General features: G+C 45.1%; 1 long non-coding RNA gene across 7 annotated transcripts in view, besides 3 other annotated features; it reads left to right on the top strand.

Moving 5' to 3' along the window:
- Positions 1-6,697: 6,697 nt before the first annotated feature.
- LOC105377123 (uncharacterized) overlaps positions 6,698-18,415 on the top strand; it is a 40,740-nt gene continuing 29,022 nt past the window's right edge. For 4 of the 7 annotated variants that reach the window (XR_007095945.1, XR_940913.3, XR_007095944.1 and 1 more), the window contains exons 1-3: positions 6,698-11,590; positions 11,829-11,995; positions 13,712-13,841. This is a non-coding gene — a long non-coding RNA (uncharacterized LOC105377123). The remainder of the gene's footprint in view (positions 11,591-11,828; positions 11,996-13,711; positions 13,842-18,415) is intronic. The other 3 variants (XR_007095943.1, XR_001740731.2, XR_940909.3) reach the window with 3 other exon arrangements.
- Positions 8,888-9,088: a silencer, noted in NCBI's record as "peak4681 fragment used in MPRA reporter construct". NCBI's record gives its function as "represses an SCP1 promoter by STARR-seq MPRAs in K562 erythroleukemia cells {active_cell/tissue: K562}" and the evidence as "EXISTENCE:reporter gene assay evidence [ECO:0000049][PMID:32103011]".
- Positions 10,367-11,310: an enhancer, noted in NCBI's record as "H3K27ac-H3K4me1 hESC enhancer chr3:64475333-64476276 (GRCh37/hg19 assembly coordinates)". NCBI's record gives its function as "activates a minimal SCP1, AML or CMV promoter by ChIP-STARR-seq in naive H9 embryonic stem cells {active_cell/tissue: H9 hESC(naive)}" and the evidence as "EXISTENCE:reporter gene assay evidence [ECO:0000049][PMID:30033119]".
- Positions 11,311-12,254: an enhancer, noted in NCBI's record as "H3K27ac-H3K4me1 hESC enhancer chr3:64474389-64475332 (GRCh37/hg19 assembly coordinates)". NCBI's record gives its function as "activates a minimal SCP1, AML or CMV promoter by ChIP-STARR-seq in naive H9 embryonic stem cells {active_cell/tissue: H9 hESC(naive)}" and the evidence as "EXISTENCE:reporter gene assay evidence [ECO:0000049][PMID:30033119]".

The raw sequence follows: 18,415 nt of genomic DNA, 5'->3' as shown, positions 1-18,415 counted from the left end.
ATTTTCCTAAGCACCTGCTACATGCCAGGCACAACCCTAAGAACTGGGAGTCCAGCGATAAATTAGGCAAAATACTCATTCTTGTGGGGCTTATTTTCTAATGAGGCATAAAAGAGATAAATAAGTAACGTTTGAAATCCTCGATGGTTTTGGTGCACAGAAAAGACCATTTCAAAGTGTATCTTGGTTTTAGAAATTAATGATTAATTATTTATTTATTTATTTATTTGAGACAGATTCTCACTCTGTCGCCCAGGCTGGAGTGCAGTGGTGCCATCTCGGCTCACTGCAAGCTCCACCTCCAGGGTTCACGCCATCCTCCTGCCTCAGCCTCCCGAGTAGCTGGGACTACAGGCGCACACCGTCACGCCAGGCTAATTTTTTATATTTTTAGTAGAGACGGGGTTTCACCGTGTTTGCCAGGATGGTCTCAATCTCCTGACCTTGTGATCCGCCCGCCTTGGCCTCCCAAAGTGCTGGGATTACAGGCGTGAGCCACCGCACCTGGCCATGATTAATTTACGAAAGGCACATGTTTTTAAAAAGCAAGGCTTTAAGTTCAGCTTATATGTCTACTTGTAAGTCTCAAAAACTGTGAGCCGTCATTTTTAAAGATCATTTGAATGTTTGAGTCCATTTGTGAACTCAATTAATTCCAACACTATCAAACATTTTAAGGTACATTTATAAATTCTTTGTATTCAGTTTCACTTTTTAGTAAGCTCATTTGTGTTATTGATAAATCTTCCTAGGTACCTAAGTAATTTATATAAATCTATTAAATTAAGAGAATAAATGTAATTTTTAAAGTGTCTTAAATATTCTAACAATATGTATAAACTTAATAAGGTCTCAAATTAAAATTCTAAGCCAAGATCAATTATTACTCAATTACATATTTGAAATGAGTACTAGGCTGATCTGTTCATTCTAATAGACCAAATTCTTGTAAATATAATAAGCACATAAAATATACATTTTAACATGAAATATTTATACACATATTAATATTATGACTTGATTATCTTAAATATTTAAAAAATCATAAATTTCCCCAGGGTCGAAATATGCTTAATCCTAAAGGAAGCAGTGATATTGGCACTTTCAAGTTTGGGGTTTGCTGAGTTTAAGGTATGGCTAGATCTTGGGGTGTCTAATGGGCCAGCTGAATTCCTTCTTAAGGGAAGCCTTAAGAAGAAGTGGTGGCTTCACCTACATTCTTTATATTCATGTAACTCATGACTTCTCACCCATACACTGTTGGTTTTTGCATTTCTTTCACTCTGTAGATAAAGGTGTGTGATAATTAATATTGAGTGTCAACTTGATTGGATTCAAGGATACAAAGTACTGTTCCCGGGTATGTCTGTGAGGGTGTTGCCAAAGGAGATTAACATTGGAGTCAGTGGACTAGGAGAGGCAGACCCTCCCTCAGTCTGAGTGGGCACCATCTAATCAGCTGCCAGTGTGGCTAGGATAAAAGCAGGCAGAGAGACATGGAAAAACTGTACTGTCTAAGTCTCCTGGCCTCCATTTTTCTCCTGTGCTGGATGCTTCCTGCTCTCGAACATCCGACTCTAAGTTCTTCAGCTTTTGTTCTCTTAGACTTTCATGAGTGGTTTGCCAGGGGCTCTCAGGCCTTCAGCCACAGACTGAAGGCTGCACTGTCACCTTCCCTACTTTTGAGGTTTTGGGACTCAGACTGGCTTCCTTGCTCCTTAGCTTGCAGACGGCCTATTGTGGGAGTTCACCTTGTGATCGTGTGAGTCAGTAGTCCTTAATAAACTCCCTTTCATATGTACATCTATCCTATTAGTCCTGTCCCTCTAGAGAACACTGACTAATACAGAACACATGAACTTGACCAGAATTTGGCTTTTTCTCCCCCTTCAGAATCTAAAGGCCACACAACTCTTAGAGATTTCAGATTAAATTGTGTATATCTCTCAGGAAGGTGTGGAATTTTTAAGCCTAATGTCCAAGGTCATTCTATGGACAAGCCATGCAATATGAAAAGAAGAAAACTAAAGCAGAGGGATCAGAGAGTGACAGGAAAGGCACTGTTATATAGGGTACTCAAAGGTGGCCATGGGGTTAGATCCTGAATGATGAAAGTGATGGGCCTATGCTGGTGTCTGGGGTAATAGTGTTCTAGGTGGAGGGAACAGGAGATGCAAAGGCCCTGTGGAAGGAGTATGCTTGGCTTTTCTTTTTTTTTAATACAGAGTCTTGCTGTGTTGCCCAGGCTGGAGTGCAGTTGTGTGATCTTGGCTCACCACAATCTCCACCTCCTGGGCTCAAGTGATCCTCCTGCCTCAGCCTCCCAGGAAGCTGGGATCACAGGTGCCAGCCACCATACCCAGCTAATCTTTGTGTTTTTAGTAGAGACAGAGTTTTGCCGTATTGGCCAGGGTGGTCTCAAACTACTGACCTCAAGTGATTTACTTGCCTTGGCCTCCCAAACTGCTGGAATTATAGGCATGAGCCATCTTGCCAGCCCCACAGTTGGCATTTTAAAGGAGCAGCAAGGAGGCCAGGGGACTTGAGTTATGAGTGAGGGGAGAGTAGTAAAAGATGAAAGCAGAGGAGAATGGGGCAGGATATTGGGATGGGCGCAGTCCACACGTTTACCTAGGAACCAGGATCAGGAGCCTGAATTCCTTTCTGAGTGAGGTAGGAAGCCATTTGACTTGACTTGGGTTTTAAAAAGCTTTCAAGCTTTCTCTGGCTGCCTATTGGTGAATAGAATGTCATCAGGCTGGGAGAAAAGCAGAAAAACTAGTTAGGAAAAAGCTCTTAAAATAGACCAGTCCCAGCCGGGTGCGGCTTACGGTCGCAAGCCACGTAAGCCGCAGCCGGGTGCTCACACCTGTAATCCCAGCACTTTGGGAGGCCAAGGCGGGTGGATAACCTGAGGCCAGGAGTTCGTGACCAGCCTGGCCAACATGGTAAACCTCATCTCTACTAAAAATACAAAAATTAGCCAGGTGTGGTGGCACATGCCTATAATCTCAGCTACTCGGGAGGCTGAGGCATGAAAATCGCTTGAACCAGGGAGGTGGAGGTTGCAGTGAGCCGAGATGACACCAGTGCACTTCAGCCTGAGTGACAGAGCGAGACTCTGTGAAAAAAAAAAAAAAAGGGAGGGGGGAGGTCCAGAAGTCACAGTGATCTGCAGTGCCAGTGGAAATTGTGCCAAGTGACTATATTCTAGATGTCTTCTTAAGGCAGTACCACCATGTTTGGCTGAGGAATGTGAGACCAATAGAGGAATCCAAGAGAACAGTGTAACTGGAAGAACAGAGTGACTTGTTTCTGAGATGGAAGACACTGGCGAAGTAACAAATGGGGTCGGGGGATCAGGGGTTCAGTCGGACCCCTGATCCCCCGACCCCATTTGTTACACATGCCAGGTGGGAGACATCCGGGGGGAGAGTCAAGGAGCAGCTGGACACAAGCACCTGGAACTCAGGCTGGAGGTGGGAGCCAAGCTGTGGGCTGACTCTGATCCACCCTGAGCTCTAGATAGAATTTCCATCTGCTCTTTGGTGCCTCTATCAGGATGTTTACATGGCATCTCTGATGCTCAGCAAGAAGCAGTTACTATCTATTAGCACTCTCTGCCATGGGTGGCTGGTCTGGGTCAGGCTAGTGGAAGTACCTGGTGTATTCTTCCAGGAAAATAAGTAGTGTCATCTGAGTGGCTTAGCAGAATTTCTGGCTCCTTTTACAATGGAATTTCCAAGGTTAATGTACTGTACCCCAAATTTCTAGATCATAGTCGAGCCAGCTTGGATAACATGCTTTGGGTGTACAGTAGAGTTTAAGGATTTGATATCAAAACATGAGTCCAAATCCCTTCACTTGACACTTCCAGTGTTTAAGCATTAAGTTCCAGTGTTAAGCATGAATGCCTCCTACGTGCTGGTGTATTCATTTACTACGGCTGCCGCAAAAAATGACCACAAACCGGGTGGCTTAAAACAACAGAAATGTATTCTCTCACAGTGGTGGAGGCCAGAAGATGGAGCAGAAGTCAGACCAACTGTGCAGGGCCATGCTGCCTCTGGAGGCCTTAAAGGGGAATCTCTCCTTTTGCTCTTCCAGACTCTGGTGGCTCCAGGTGTTCCTGTGGGTACATCACTCCAATCTCTGCCTCCATCTTTGCATGGCCTTCTTTCTCCTCTGTGTCTGTGTCTTTGCCTGTGTCTCTCATGAGGACCCACTGGATTTGGGTCCTACCCAGATAATCCAGGAGATCCTTACATTAATTACATCTACAAAGACCCTTTTTCCAAATAAGGGTCACATTCACAGGTTCTAGGGGTTAGGATGTGGATGTATTTGGGGGTGGAGCAGGGACTATTCAAGCCACTACTGCTGGTTAGTGCCAGATAAAGGAAAGACGTAACCCATTCCCACAGTCCTCTGTTAATTCAATAAACATTTATTGAGTACATACTTTATATAGGACCTCATATTTGGCATTGCAGACACCAAGATGAAGATAATAGGCAAAGGCCTTACAAAGACCTCACAGTTTTATTGGGTGAATGGGATCAAAAAGGCTCAGCTCACCTAAGTATGCTGAGTCTTTCTGATCCCATTCCACTAATAAAATGTATTAAAAATAGTAGGGTATTCTCATATTATTTAATCCCCCCAACTCTGGAAGGTAGCTATTAGTGTTCTCATTTATGGATGCATATGCTGTGGTTCAGAGAAGTGAAGTGACTTGTACAGGGTGATGATTAGTAGGTGGTACAGCCAAGATTTAAACCTGGGTCTGCCCAACTGCAGCATACCCTGTTCTGTGCAATTCAGCATCAACTCCCCAATTATACCCACTGGGATATCACACGTGCACATAATTAAATGCTGACTTCTGTGACACAGAGTTCAAAATGGATATAAATGGATTTTTAAAATTGATTCTCATTTAAATATGCAAGGGAAATATTCTTGGAATCTTCTGGTCAGCCCTTTCTGGGAAGCACTCACTTTTATATTCTGCAAATCTACATGTGCCGGTCTTAGGTTTGCTTAAAATATGGTAGTCTCAGAGGCCTTGATCCTATTAAAGAACAGAAGAAAGATAAAACTTGTCTTTGCCTGGGCTTTGGCAACCCAGGCTCTGTATTTTGTCTGAGAGAGATACTCTCAAATATGTTGTATCAAAAAAACTATTAATTATAACCAATATTGTTTTGTAATTGATTATAATTTGATTGGACACAGACTCACCAACCAGTACCCTGGAAAAGTACCCCTTGTATAAAGACCAAGTAATCAGAAACACGGGTTTCATGTACAGTTCTTACCTGGTAAGGAAGTGAGGTTTCATTTTCTTTTCTTTTTCTAGTGTGGCCTAGCAAACAGGAGACCTGGGTATACTCTTAGCAATGACCTGAGCCCGGTGATACAGGGCACATTGCTTTCAACCTCTGAGACTCAAGCTTCTCATCACTAAGGTGAATGTTTGTACTAGGTGATCTTTGAGGTCCCTTTTGGCTCAGAAGTATATTAACTGTGAGGCTAAATGTTTGGTGCTAATTATATTTGCTGGGATATGGGTTCTTTATGGCTAGGCTTAGTTTACATTTTTTATGAGACAGATGAATGAGGTTAATAAGAATAGTTAATTTAAAAAGATATTGAATTCCCAGAAGGTATTTTATTATGAATTTAATTATGAAAAGTACTAATGGCTTCACTCCAAGACTTGAAATTTGTCCAATTGCTCAGTGTACAAAGTAAGGGACGGTTTTCCTCAAGCCTGCCTCAGCTCTGTACTAATACCAGTGATGCAAGAACATCTCGCTTTAAAAAACATTTTTTTTAGAGATGGAGACTCACCATATTGCCTGGGCTGGACTCGTACTCCTGGGTGCAAGTGATGCTCCTGCCTCAGCCTCCTGACTAGCTGGGATTACAACTGCCAACCACTGCACCCAGCTTCACTTTCTAACTATAGAAAGAAACAGTGCAGGAGAGCTAGTCAGTCTGCATAATGGGTCTCTTCTCTTATCTTCATTGTCTTTACAGGAGACAAGAAATGTACATGTTAAAATGTAGCTCCATTACTATCAACCTACTGTGTGTTCTGACTACAGGGTTGCCACTAGGCTGTGTGGCACCTTCATTGCAAATTAACAAAAATAACCCTTTTTCAAAGAGCACAGCTCTGCACAAAAACAGCTTGGGAAGCAGATGGCTCTGCACCAGGGTGTGGTTTGACAAGTGGAGCTTGGGATGAGTTGCAGTCCCTACTTGTTTCCTTAGCTGAGCTTGTCTGTGCAGTGCATACACTACCCCAGTGGACAAGGCGGTCCTGCCTGGCTCAATCACTTACGTTCTTTCTGCTTTTCCAGGGAAGTGGCTGGTCTTTACTTTGAAAAAAGTCCTTGATCACTGCTTTGAAAATAGCCTTGTCTGAGGTTTCAAGCAGAGGGTCTGGAACACTTAAGGGCCTTGAAATTAGGAGGGGGAATGGTATCTTTGAGAAACGGAGAGAAAAAATATTGTGGCTGAAATTAGCAAACAAGATGAAGTCAGGAGACAGGCTGTAGAGATGGACCAGGGTCATGTTTGTTTAATCTCTAGCCCATTGGTGAAGGGCATTTTCCTAAACAATGGGACTTGGTAGACTGGTTTTAAGCATGGAAGGATTTAAATAGATCAAACCGGCTTCTCTGTTGAGTGAGAATTGCAGGAAGCCTTATTCAGAGGTAAGAGATGCCGGTGGTTTGGGCAAGGGTGATGTTGGAGAAAGGTGGGTGGATTTTAGAGTAAAATTATCTCGTGAATTAAAATTATCTAGAAATGATGATGGATTTGGTTAAGGAATGAGGGGAAGGTAAGGAGTAATTTCAAAGGTAATAATAATAGCTAATATGGTGCCAGGCATCATTCTAAGTCTTTACATATATTAGCTTTACATATATTAGCTCATTTAATCCATGAAGGACAATGTATGATTTTCCTCACTTTATAAAGGAGTAACTTGAGGCACAAAAAGTTTAAATACCTTGTCCAAGGTTCCATAGCACACAGTCTGAGTTGAGATGTGAACACAGAGCCTGAGGTTCAAGTCCTTTTTCTAAACCAGTGATTCTCAAAGGAGACATTGTTGGTTGTCACAGCTGGGGCTGGAGTGCTACTGATATCTAGGGATAGAGGACAGAGATGCTGCTAAATATCCTACAATGCACAAGATAGTCCCCACGACAAGAAATTACCCAGCCCAAAATGTCAGTAGTGCCCAGGTTGAGAAACCCTGTTGCAAATTGCTACATTATATTAATACTACCTACTGAGGGTAGCCGGTAGGCTTCTTAGACAACTGGTTTACCAATACTGGGCGAAGACCAGTTTGAGGGAGACTGAGTTGCTTTCTGGACACATCCAGTTGAGGTCCTTTAAGGCACCTAGGAAGATAGGGCAAGTAAACTGCTGGATGCTCGCTTGGCTTTGTAATTCAGAGAGGTCTGGCACTGCTTGGAGTAGGTTTCTATTCCTGGCAACTGCATACACCAAAATATCTCCTGTATTTTTATAGTGTATTTGTTTGTTTGTTTATACCCCCACCCTCTTCCAGAAAGGATGCAAAGCTGCTTAGGAGGATAAGGAACACGCAAGAGTCTGATGTAAGTTAAAAGTAGGACAAAGGAACACATTCACATAAGGGTGGAGACATAGGATGGAGCCAGCAATGAGGCTAAAAGGAACCCTAATCCCATTCCTGGCAGCTGCAGGGCTCTTCTTACAATCTTACTGGACTCCTTTATCCCAGTCTCTGCTGAGATCTCTGCCTCCTCTCCAGGAGATGAACCCCAATCCTCACCTCTTGGCTGCCCTGCAGCTGAGATGAAAACTGAATGTGCTTACTGTCTTTTAGGTTCCTGGCACCTAGTGGGAGAACAATACATAGTTGTAGAGAGAAACTCCAGGGATGGGGTTGTGAACAAGACCCAAAGCCTCCCCCATAGAGCTTCCTTTTGAATGGGGGAGACAAACCAAAAAGGGGAGCAACCGTTGATATGAGCATTCGTGCTTTGTTTTGCTTATCAGATAATTTAATAGCTAGTTCCAAGGCGTCTTTCATGCTATAAAGAAACAAAAAAGGACCCAAGAAAAAATGATGAGGAGAAGTATGGTGGTTGGGGAAGCCTCTGTGAGAAGGTGATATGCAAGCTGAGACCTAGAAGAGGAGAAGGGACAGAGTTTCATAGAGTCGGGTGAAGGCATTCCAACCAGGAAACAGCGTGGACAGATAGCCCTGGATGGGAAACAACTATGGTCTTTGAGAAACCGGGAAGAGGCCAGCAGGCCTGAAGCAGGATGAGTGAAGAGAGAGGGTGGGAAAACAGCCAGGACCTTGCAGGCATAGGAAAGAGTTTGGGTTTTATTTCAAGTGCAGTAAGGAGCTATGGAAGGACTACGTGGCAGAGATCAACAATTGTCCACAAGTATCCATTCTCCCCTTTGTCCTGATTCATAAAATCCACAAGGTTGAACTGGGCATGTGGCTGCCTGGAATAAGAACAACTTTTCCCAGCCTCTTTTGCAGATGTGGTCATGTGACTTAAGCTCTGGCTGCTAGAATCCAAGCTGGGGTGGTGTATGCAACTTCTGAGTAGTATCTTTGAAAGGGGGATGTGTGTCCCCACTCCTCCTTGCTGCTATGTGGGGTATAGATTAAATGGCTGGAACCCCAGCACCATCTCAGACTCTGAAGTGACCTTGGAAATAAAAGCCAGGATTGGAGATGCCACAATGTAGACAGAGCCTGGATTCCTGACTCCGTTGAACTGCCATAGTCTCAGGTAGCCAGCTGCCAGATGCTTCTGGGAGGGAGGGAAAAGCATCTATCTTGCTGAAGCCACTGTTAGTGTGCATTTTCTGTCACAGCTAAACCTAATTCTAACTGATAAAGGCTTTCAGGAGGAACCACATGATTCCGTTTATCACATCAGAAGCTCCCTTAGGCCCTTGTGAGGAGCAGAAGATTGAAAGGGAGTGAGTACAGAGCAGGGAGATAGGGGCAGAGGCTGCTGCAATCATCCAGGCAAATGAATGAACAAATGAATGAATGAATTGTAACCGGACCCAGGTTCAGTTGCTCTCTGCTTGAAAGCCAAAACTCAAGAAATGAGACTTGGTGGGAGGAAAAACAGGTTTTTCGGGAAGCCAGCAAACGGAGAAAATGGTAGACTACCATCCTAAAATGCCATCTTAAGTCAGCACAAATTTCAGGCTTTTTTTTATGTTAAGGGCAGGGGAAGAAGAGGGAGTTGGGATCAAGATGTGACTGATGACTGCAGACCTCTGGGTGCCAGTGAGGGCCTGAGGAGTTTGGGAACTTCTTTGTCCTTGGTCAGGTCACAATGCTCCTGTAAATCTTTAACAAAACACAGTTGTTTACATACTTTCCCTTTAACCCCAGAGTTATTTTTTAAAACTACATAATTGCTGTTTTTGTGTATTATCTATATGGATCTTTAACAAAACATGATTGTTTACATACTTTCCCTATAACCCCAGAGTTGGCTTTTAAAACTACATGATTGCTGTTTTTGTGTATTATCTCAGTGCTCTAAAATTATCCTAGCCTACACGCGGGCATGGGTTAAAGCCCCTTACACAAATACGGTGAGTGTTACATTCTTTTGCTGTTTCGCTGTTGCTGAATGAATGACTGAATGAAAGCATCTCCCAAGGCTGCCTGCTTGCTTACCTTCTCACATGATGCTTCTTTGCCTCTCTGTTCCTTAAGGAGCTTTCCCTCCCTTCTTTCTTGCCCCACAGTCCCCAAACTCACCAGTGTGGGCAGAAGGAGAAAAGGAATGTTCTATCCAGCCCCATACCCCAGCACCTGCTGGGCAACTTTGTCTTCCCTTCTGCAAAAGAAAAGAAGTCCCCTCAAACACAGGAGAGGATGGGAAAAGGCATCTCTCTAAGCAGTAACCCTGGCAGGGCCCTTCAGGATTCCCAAATTCCCAATTTATAGACAGGGAAACTGATCCCTAGAGAAGGGAAGGGACTTGCCCATGTCCACACAGCATGTTAGTGGGACACATCATGAAACATAAAAGCAGGAAGAGGGTCTAGAAACCATCTAGCCCTACCCCCTCATTTAGAGAAAGGAAAACCGAGGCCCAGAGAGGGAGAGTTAGTGACAGAGCCACAACAAGAACTCAGAAGAGGGTCAGCTGGTGTGCAACCAGCTCAGTGACACAAAAGCCTGTGCTAGGGATTTAATGTTCTACTGTCGTGTCTTGAAATTCTTCATATCTTATCTGTAAATGTGTAGTTTGTAAATGAAGTCTGTGAGATAACACAGCAGGCACCCAGGCCAACAGCCTCAGTTCAAGTGCAGTCCGGCCCCTCCCTCACCAGGTGGGTTCTCAGTGCCAGCTTCCCCAACCCCCTGCTATCTCCTCCTCACATCCCTTCTTCTCTCTCTTCCCCCCAACAGCTGCCAGTCTGCTATCTGCAGGGCACTGGCACGGGAGGCTGAGCATGCACATCCCACAGCATTTGGGTAGGACACGACTGCAGCCATGCCTGCCCTAGAGGTTGATGACATCGTGGTGCCTTCAAGGGGGGAAACTGGCAGGGCAAGCCTTTCCCCTATGCTAGAGCCTCTGACATGGAGGTTGCAAGATGTGGGGGTACCTGTCCACCATGGATTGGGGTGAAGGGCCTGTGGGAAAGGAGGATGCCTGGCTTCCCTTCTCCGGGTCCTCTTGCCTCAGTGTAGGGGACCTGGCAGCAGATGGGCACTGGTGGGCCACACTGCAGGGGAAGGCTCCTGGGTGCCTTGAGGGCCTCCGTGCTCCTCTCCAGTAGCTCCATGCCCAAGGTAGCATAGCATTAAATAGCAAATACACAGCACAAGAGGGGCCACAGAAGTGGGGTGGGGCTTTATGTTTGGGTACCTCTCTCCTGCCTGTGGAACAAAAGGCTTGTGTTTGCAATGTGCCCTGGGCTGTCACATTAGGTAGCTGTCCTGACTCAGGACTTCTGTTGCTCTGGCCACCAGCCCCCAGCACTCAGCACCGCTGGACAACACCGGTGTATTCACGTTCAGTCTAGTGCGTTCCCGGCCCTGTGCTGGGCCTCTTTTCCCTGTTTTCTTGTTTGCAGCCTTGTCGTAACTGAGTGAGGTGTGCACTATTATTAGACTCATTTTACAGGTGAGGAAAGACAGCTGCCCATAGGCTGAGTTAACTTGTCCACGTCCTCCACCAGGGAAGCAAGAGAGCCAAGCTCCCCACCCAGGTGGCCTGGTGCTCCTGTCCTGGCCCGACATGCGGGCAGTCGGGCCGTCGGGAAAGGAAAGCGCAGTGTAGAGGAGCTGCTTCTCACCGCCTCTCCTCCCCTCCCCACCTTCCCCGGGAACTCATGCCCCTCCCCTGCACTCCTGCTCCTTGCCGGCTCGCCCTGGGCCGCTCCGAAGGGAGGAGACCACGTGACCCAGGTCACCGGTAACCAGGCAACCGTTCCAAGACACTGCTTTTCATCCACTCTGGCTTCTACCTTATTCAATATCTGCCAGGCGGGCAAGGCTCCTGGGAGCATCCCTGAAGTAATTCTAAGAAATAAGGCTTGCTGGGGAGGCCTGCGGGGACATCTAATATTCTTTCTCTCTGAACTCTGTGCCCCAAAGTCGTGAACTTGCCTGTTGGGGATTCTGAGTGAATGCTGGAAATCCAGATTCGTTGGGGCCAGAGTTTGCCCTGCGCATGAGGGAGAGGGTGTGGGGTATGGGCAGAGGTGGCAAGGGAGGCTTTGTGAAACGTTACACTCTGCTTCCTCAACTGCAGGCCATTTCTCTGGGCCAGGAGCCAGCTGTTCCCAAAATGGCCACGATGCCTCAGGAGGGAGGTTGACACCCTGTGCTCTCAGAAGCAGCTCAGAGCTCAGAGGCAGACCTCTACTCATGCAATTCTGCCTTCTGTGCATGCAATGGATTGCTGCCATCTCCAATCAGGTGGGGACATTAATGGGGTGACCAAGGTTTATTAAGCCCCTATTATTTTCCCTGTGCTAGACACTAGGGAGAGAAAAAGTAGCAAATCCGACCTAATTCCCATTTCATAGATGGGAAAATGGAGGCTCAGATAGGCAGAAAGAGTTTCCCTGAATCTGGCTTATGAAAATATCAGCCCTTTCCATTTGCCATGCTGCTTTTACAGAGGAAGAAAGGAACTTCAAGTACATCTAGGCCAGCTTCCTTACTTTGCAGAAGAGGAAACTGAAGAATAGGGAGACAAAGTGTCTCCTCCTCTAGAGTCACACAACTTGCTTGGCTTCAAAGTCACTTTTTAAATTACACAGGGGACTCTTAACCCCAGTTACGACCTGTTCTTGGATTCAGTTAACTGTTTTTTGTTTTGTTTGAGACAGGGTCTTGCTCTGTTGCCCAGACTGGACTGCAGTGGCACAATCATAGCTTATTGCAGCCTTGCACTCCTGGGCTCAAGGGATCCTCCCTCCTCAGCCACACAAGTAGCTAGGACTACATGCATGTGCCACCAAGCCTGGCTAATTAAAAAAAAAAAAATTTTGTAAAGATAGGGTTTCACTATGTTGCCCAGGCTGGTCTTGAACTCCTGGCCTCAATCAGTCCTCCCACCTCGGCTTCTCAAAGTGTTGAGATTACAGGCGTGAGCCACTTCGCCCAGCCCAATAACTGTTTAGAACTCTAAACTTCCTTCTATTTTCCAAAGCCAATTGAATTATCCCTGTCTTTATGTGCAGACAGCACTGTAATTTCATAATACAGGCAGTGTCGTGTAGTTAAAAATCATTCTTTTCTCTTCTTTGGAGCAATTGAGATTTTGGACAACTATTTCATCTTTTTAGGTTTGTTTCCTCTTCTGTAAAATGGGGGTGATAATAGTATTTACCTCATAGAATTATTGGGAAGATTCAATGAGATAATTTATATCAAGTGTTGAATACAGCCCTGGATATTATTATAATTGTGTCAAATTTTTATTACTAGTGTCTTCAAAATCTCAACCAGATAAAGAATAGAGCTGACCTCACCTCATATTCATTCATCCCTTTATTTGATATCCCAAAGGACTCTCCCTAGGACTATGCAAACCTTTGGATGCTCGATAAATGTTTGCTTAATTGGAGAAATTCTAAAATATCTAGAATTGACTTCAAGGTAGACTTTGTTAACAACACCAAAATGGTGGATAGAGACATCTTCCTTTCTTAGCCAGGCCTGGACTTGAGCAAATTTTACGTTTAACCTCTTCTTCTTTCCCCTGCCCTTCTCTAAACCTTCAGCCTCCTCTGCAGGAACATTGGAGACCCGTCATTACCTCTGTATGATCTGAATTTAAGATCAAGGTGGCCCTTCTCCTGGTTGCATTTGAAGTCTTCTCTATAATTGTGATAATTATTTTATCAGTGAGAGGAGATGTCTGGGGGCAGTGGGGCAGGGGTGGGCGGGTGGGGGGACGCAGAAGCTCATCAGACTCTCAGGAAATGAGACTGGTTGGCTGTGAGACAGCTTTGGCCACTAGGTTCTATTTCGAAGCTTTTTTTTTTTTTTTTTTTTTTTTTTTTTTTTTTTTTTTGCCGTTAAGTATGACCATGTCGCTGAGTTCTGGCCAGTACATGTGGGTGGAAATGACATGCACCACTTCCAGGCCTGACCCATCTCATGCTCCTCCTTCCCCTTCCCTAGCCACAATGGGAGGCCACCTGCTAGACATGGAAGAGCCACCGGATGGAAGAAGCCTGGGTCTCTGAAATACTGCTTGGAGTAGACTACTCTGCCTGCAAACTAGGAGCACTGATTTTGGACTTTTTGGGAGGTGAAAGAGAAATTTTTATTACGTGAAGCCATTGAGTTTGGGGAGGAGACTGGTTATCTGCTACAGCATCTAGAATGTTACCTTAACCAGCACAGTAAGGAGGCGGGGCACTGCAAAAGAACGTTGAATGAGATACTCTCTGTGCTGTGTGCGAAAGCTTGGGCAGGCTGTGCAGGAAGTTGGGCTGGGTTCAGATCCTGCCTTGCCATTTCCTGCCTGTGCTATTCTTCCAAAGGCTCTGAGCCAGCAATTTTAAAAGTCTTAAAAGTTGAGACACCCATCATTGCCTGATCACTCTCTTCTGAAGAGGTTCTGGGAGAATCAGACCTAGAAAGTAGGTCAAGGGTTCTTTGATTTCAGCTCTGTTTTAATATTTTTACCTTGGCTACGAGTTTAGAGCAAAATAAAAAAATGCCCTGCGGGAACAGCTTTTCCAGTTCTCCTTTTGCTGCCTCTTTTTTCCTTCCTTCCATATCTTAGGATGAATGTGGATACAGGCAGCCTGAATTCATGGCCAGCTCTGCCATTTTGATGTGTGTGACCTCAGCCAAGTGTCCCGGCCTTTCTAGGTCTCCATTTCCACATGTGTAAATTGAAGAGAATATGACCTTACCTTGCCCGGTTATGTGAATTAAAGATGTAATATTAAAAGATGAGCACACAGGAAGCCCTCGGGGGATATAACAGAAGCAGGACAGGGCTCCCACTTCTATTAGTACTATTACTTCTAACCTTTACTCCCTGATTCGTGCTTCTCTTCAACCCTTCATTCAGTAACCATTTATTGGGTACCTACTATGTCCCAGGGAGTGAACAAGAAGGCAAAGTTTCTGCCCTCTTAAAGTTTGTCTTCTGGCAGAGAGGTAAATGTATTTTAAGTGAACAGAAATAACATAATTGCAAATTGTAATAGATAAAGGAAATAAACAGTTTGCTGAGATAGAGAACAAGGGCTGAGGGGAAGGTGAGACATATGTTGAATGTGACATTCAGGGAAGGTCTCCCTGAGGCGGTTACATTTCTATGAGCCCTGAAGACTGAGAGACAATCAGACAGCAGAAGAGCTAAAGGGGGCACCATCTGAGCAGAGAAAGGCTCTTTCAAAGGTCTTCAGGTGACCACCTGCGGTGGTCAAGAGGCAGATAGGAGGCCAGTGAGTGGTTAGCAGAGGGTGTGAGAGGCCAGGAGCTAGGAACCCAACAGGACTTCTAGATTGATAGGTCTCACCCTGCCTGACAGGCCATGGTACAGAAGGTGAATTTTTAAAATATACATATATAAGTGTAATAAGTCATTTAAACAGGAGTTTCATGGTCCACCTTATATTTTTACAACAGTAGTTCTCAAAGTGTGAACCTCAGCCCAGGAGGGTCACCTGGGAATTTGTGAGGCATGGAAATTCGCAGGTCCACTTCTGGCCTGATGAATCACAGGCTCTGGGAGTGGAACTCAGCGGTCTGTATTTTAACAAGCCCTCCAGGAGATGCTGCTACTGCTGGTCTGAACTGGAAGCTCAGTGATTCTCAATCCTGGATGCACAAAAGAATCATCTAACTTTGGGAGGCCAAAGCAGGTAGATCGCTTGAGGTCAGGAGTTTGAGACCAGCCTGAGCAACATGGTGAAACCCCATCTCTACTAAAAATACAAAAAATTAGCTGGGTGTGGTGGCACACACATAGTCCCAGCTACTTGGGAGGCTGAGGCCAGAGAATCGCTAGAACCTGGGAGGTTGAGGTTGCAGTGAGCCGAGATGGCACCACTACACTCCAGCCTGGGTGACAGAGCAAGACTCTGTCTCGAAAAATAAAAATAAAAAGAATCATCCAGGAGCTTTCATGAGCTACGAATGTTGAGAGACCTTCTACCCACTACCCCTAGATTCTGATTTAATTAGTCAGGGTTTGGCCCCTGGGTGTTGGTAGGTCTTGAATGTTCCCCAAGGCATTCCATAGCTACAGCAGGTAGGACCACAGCTCTAGCTGCTGCGTGAAGAATAGACAACAGGGGGAAGGGAGGAGATGCAAGAAGATCAGGAGGCTAATGCAGTGGTCCAGGTGAGGGATGATGGTGGCAGAGAATATGAAGGGGCTTAGACAGATTTTAAATATATTTCACAGAGAAAAACCCAACAGGACTTTTAGATTGATAGGATATGGGGTGGAGAGGTGGGACTTATATTCAGCATCAGATCGAAGGGAATGCCAGCCATAATAGTAAAGACCCTGTGCTTTTAGATAGCCTGCAGCTAGAAGACCCTGGCAACATAGCCTAACGTTGAGCACAGGGCCCCAAAGAAGTCCATCTTCTCTATCTGCCTGGCAACAAAGAAGATTTCAGCAAACTTAGCAAGATCTAAGCTTATCCTAAGTTCTCAGAGGAGCCACAATGTGAAAGGGACTTTACGAAAAAAAAATCTGAATACTCAGCTAGGATGTTCCTGTTTTACAGCCCAGTCTCCTGGGAACACTCTGGGCACTGGCCCTTCTGGGGAGAACAGGGGACTGGATGGTATATCCAGGAGTGACCAGCAGGTGGCATGCCAGACTCAGAAATGTGTATTGCAGGGAGCAAGGCAACTCTTGCTGTTTGCTGCTTAAACAGAAGAAAAGGATTCACTCCGGAAGTAATACTCATGTGTGCCATGTACTAAATGGCTACTGTGTGCCAGATACTGTGCCAAGTGCTTATGTGTATATTCTCATTTAATCCTCATAGCTCTACAAGGTGAGCTCCACCACTGTACATATATTCAGAGATCTAAGTGGCTTGGGCAATGTCACTGACATGGTCATTGGCAGAACCAGCCTTGGTCCTCTAGCCTGTCTGACCCCATGGCCACTTTTCCTGTCAAAAGGGCCAGGATCCCCAGCGGCTCTTTCTTGTCCACAGTGGTGCTCTCACTCACACTTGGGGGTAATGCCCTTGGAAGGTGGGGCCATCAGAATTATCAAAGCCTTTAAAGTCAAACGCCCTGGGCTTTGCCGCTCACTTGCTGTGCGATGGTAAGAAAGCTACTTGGCCTCTCTATCCTCAGGTTTCCTCATCTCTAAAATGGGGTGAGGCTGGGCCCAATGGCTCACTCTTGTAATCCCAGCACTTTGGGAGGCTGAGGCAGAAGGACTGCTCGAAGCCCGGAGTTCGATACTAGCCTGGGCAACAAAGTGAGACCACGGCGCTACAAAAAAAAAAAAAAAAAAATTAAAATGCGTTGAGACGTGAGGCAGTGAGCTGTGGTGAGATGATCTTATGTAACTGACCCAGAATCTTGCTTGCTTGGCCCAGAGGAGTGCTCAATGAATGGCAGCTTTTCTGCTTAAAATGATTTCACAGGAGGTAGAGACAACTCTGAAAGGTCTAAAACTGTGCTATCCAATGGTGCTCTCTGCAGTGATAGAAATGCTCTATAACTGTGCTGTCCAGCAGCATAGTCATAACCACATGTGGCTATTGAGTGCTTAATACATAGCTAGTGCAACTGAGAGATTGAATTTTAAATTTTACTTAATTACAATAAATGTAAATTTCAATAACCATATGTGGCCAGTGGCTACCGTATTGGACAGTGCAAGTCTAAAATGTGTCTGCGCTCACAGTCTGTGTGTCCTTTACAGCCCCTTGGGTATGAAACAAAATAAGTTATGTTCAACATTTGGATCCTGGCATATAGCAGGCACCCAGTAAATTTGAGTTAGTCAGAAATGGGAGAGAAAGGAAAATCAGTAAGTGAAGCCAAAGCAATGTTTTACATTTAACAAATTGTGTAAAATTGTAGAACTGGACTCTCAGACTTCTCCAGCAAAATCTTCCAGAGTTCAGTAACCATGGGGGACTGACTGGGGCAGGTTGTTAGTTTTTTACCCTTTCAAGCCAGAATTCTCTAAATATTTCTTCAGCCTGTATTCGATGGGGACAGAGAACAAATGTGTTCAAGTGAATAACGTGTGTGTTCAATACAAATTCCTTTCATCTATTCACTGACTAAAGAACACTTCCTCCTTTTCTGTGCCCCCTCTTCAAATTTTTTTTTGCAATTTCACAAATCAGACAACTGCTTAGAAAGTTTATTCTCTCTCTCTCTCTCTCTCTTTTGTTTTGTGTGTTTGTTTTTTGAGACAGGGTCTCACTCTGTTGCCGAGGCTGGAGTGCAATGGTGAGATCTCAGCTCACTGCAGCCTCAACTTTCTGGAGCTCAGATGATCCTCCACCTCATCCTCCCAAGTAGCTGGGACTATAGGCATGTACCACCACACCCAGACTATTTTTGTGTTTTTTCTGTAGAGACAAGGTTTCACATGTTGCCCAGGTGGGTCTCAAGCTTCTGGGACCAAGTTACTTGCTTGTCTTGGCCTCCCAAAGTGCTGGGATTACAGACATGAGCCAGCATGCTGCGCCAAAAGATTTTAAAGGTTCAAAGTATAAATAACAAAACAACTGGCCCCCCAGGAAGCAGCACTATATCATGCATTTCTCACTTCCAAAATTTTATCTATCCAGATTTTGTTTTTAAGTGATGGTCAGTTGGCAATTCTTGCATGTTCCATAGTTGAATCTTGCAGTTTATAAAAGCTAGTGG

This window comes from Homo sapiens, chromosome 3 (genome assembly GCF_000001405.40).
Source record: "Homo sapiens chromosome 3, GRCh38.p14 Primary Assembly".
In the NCBI taxonomy this organism is placed as follows: Eukaryota; Metazoa; Chordata; class Mammalia; order Primates; family Hominidae; genus Homo; species Homo sapiens.
Note: the sequence above shows the minus strand (reverse complement) of the source record. Positions and strands in the feature narration are given on the sequence as shown.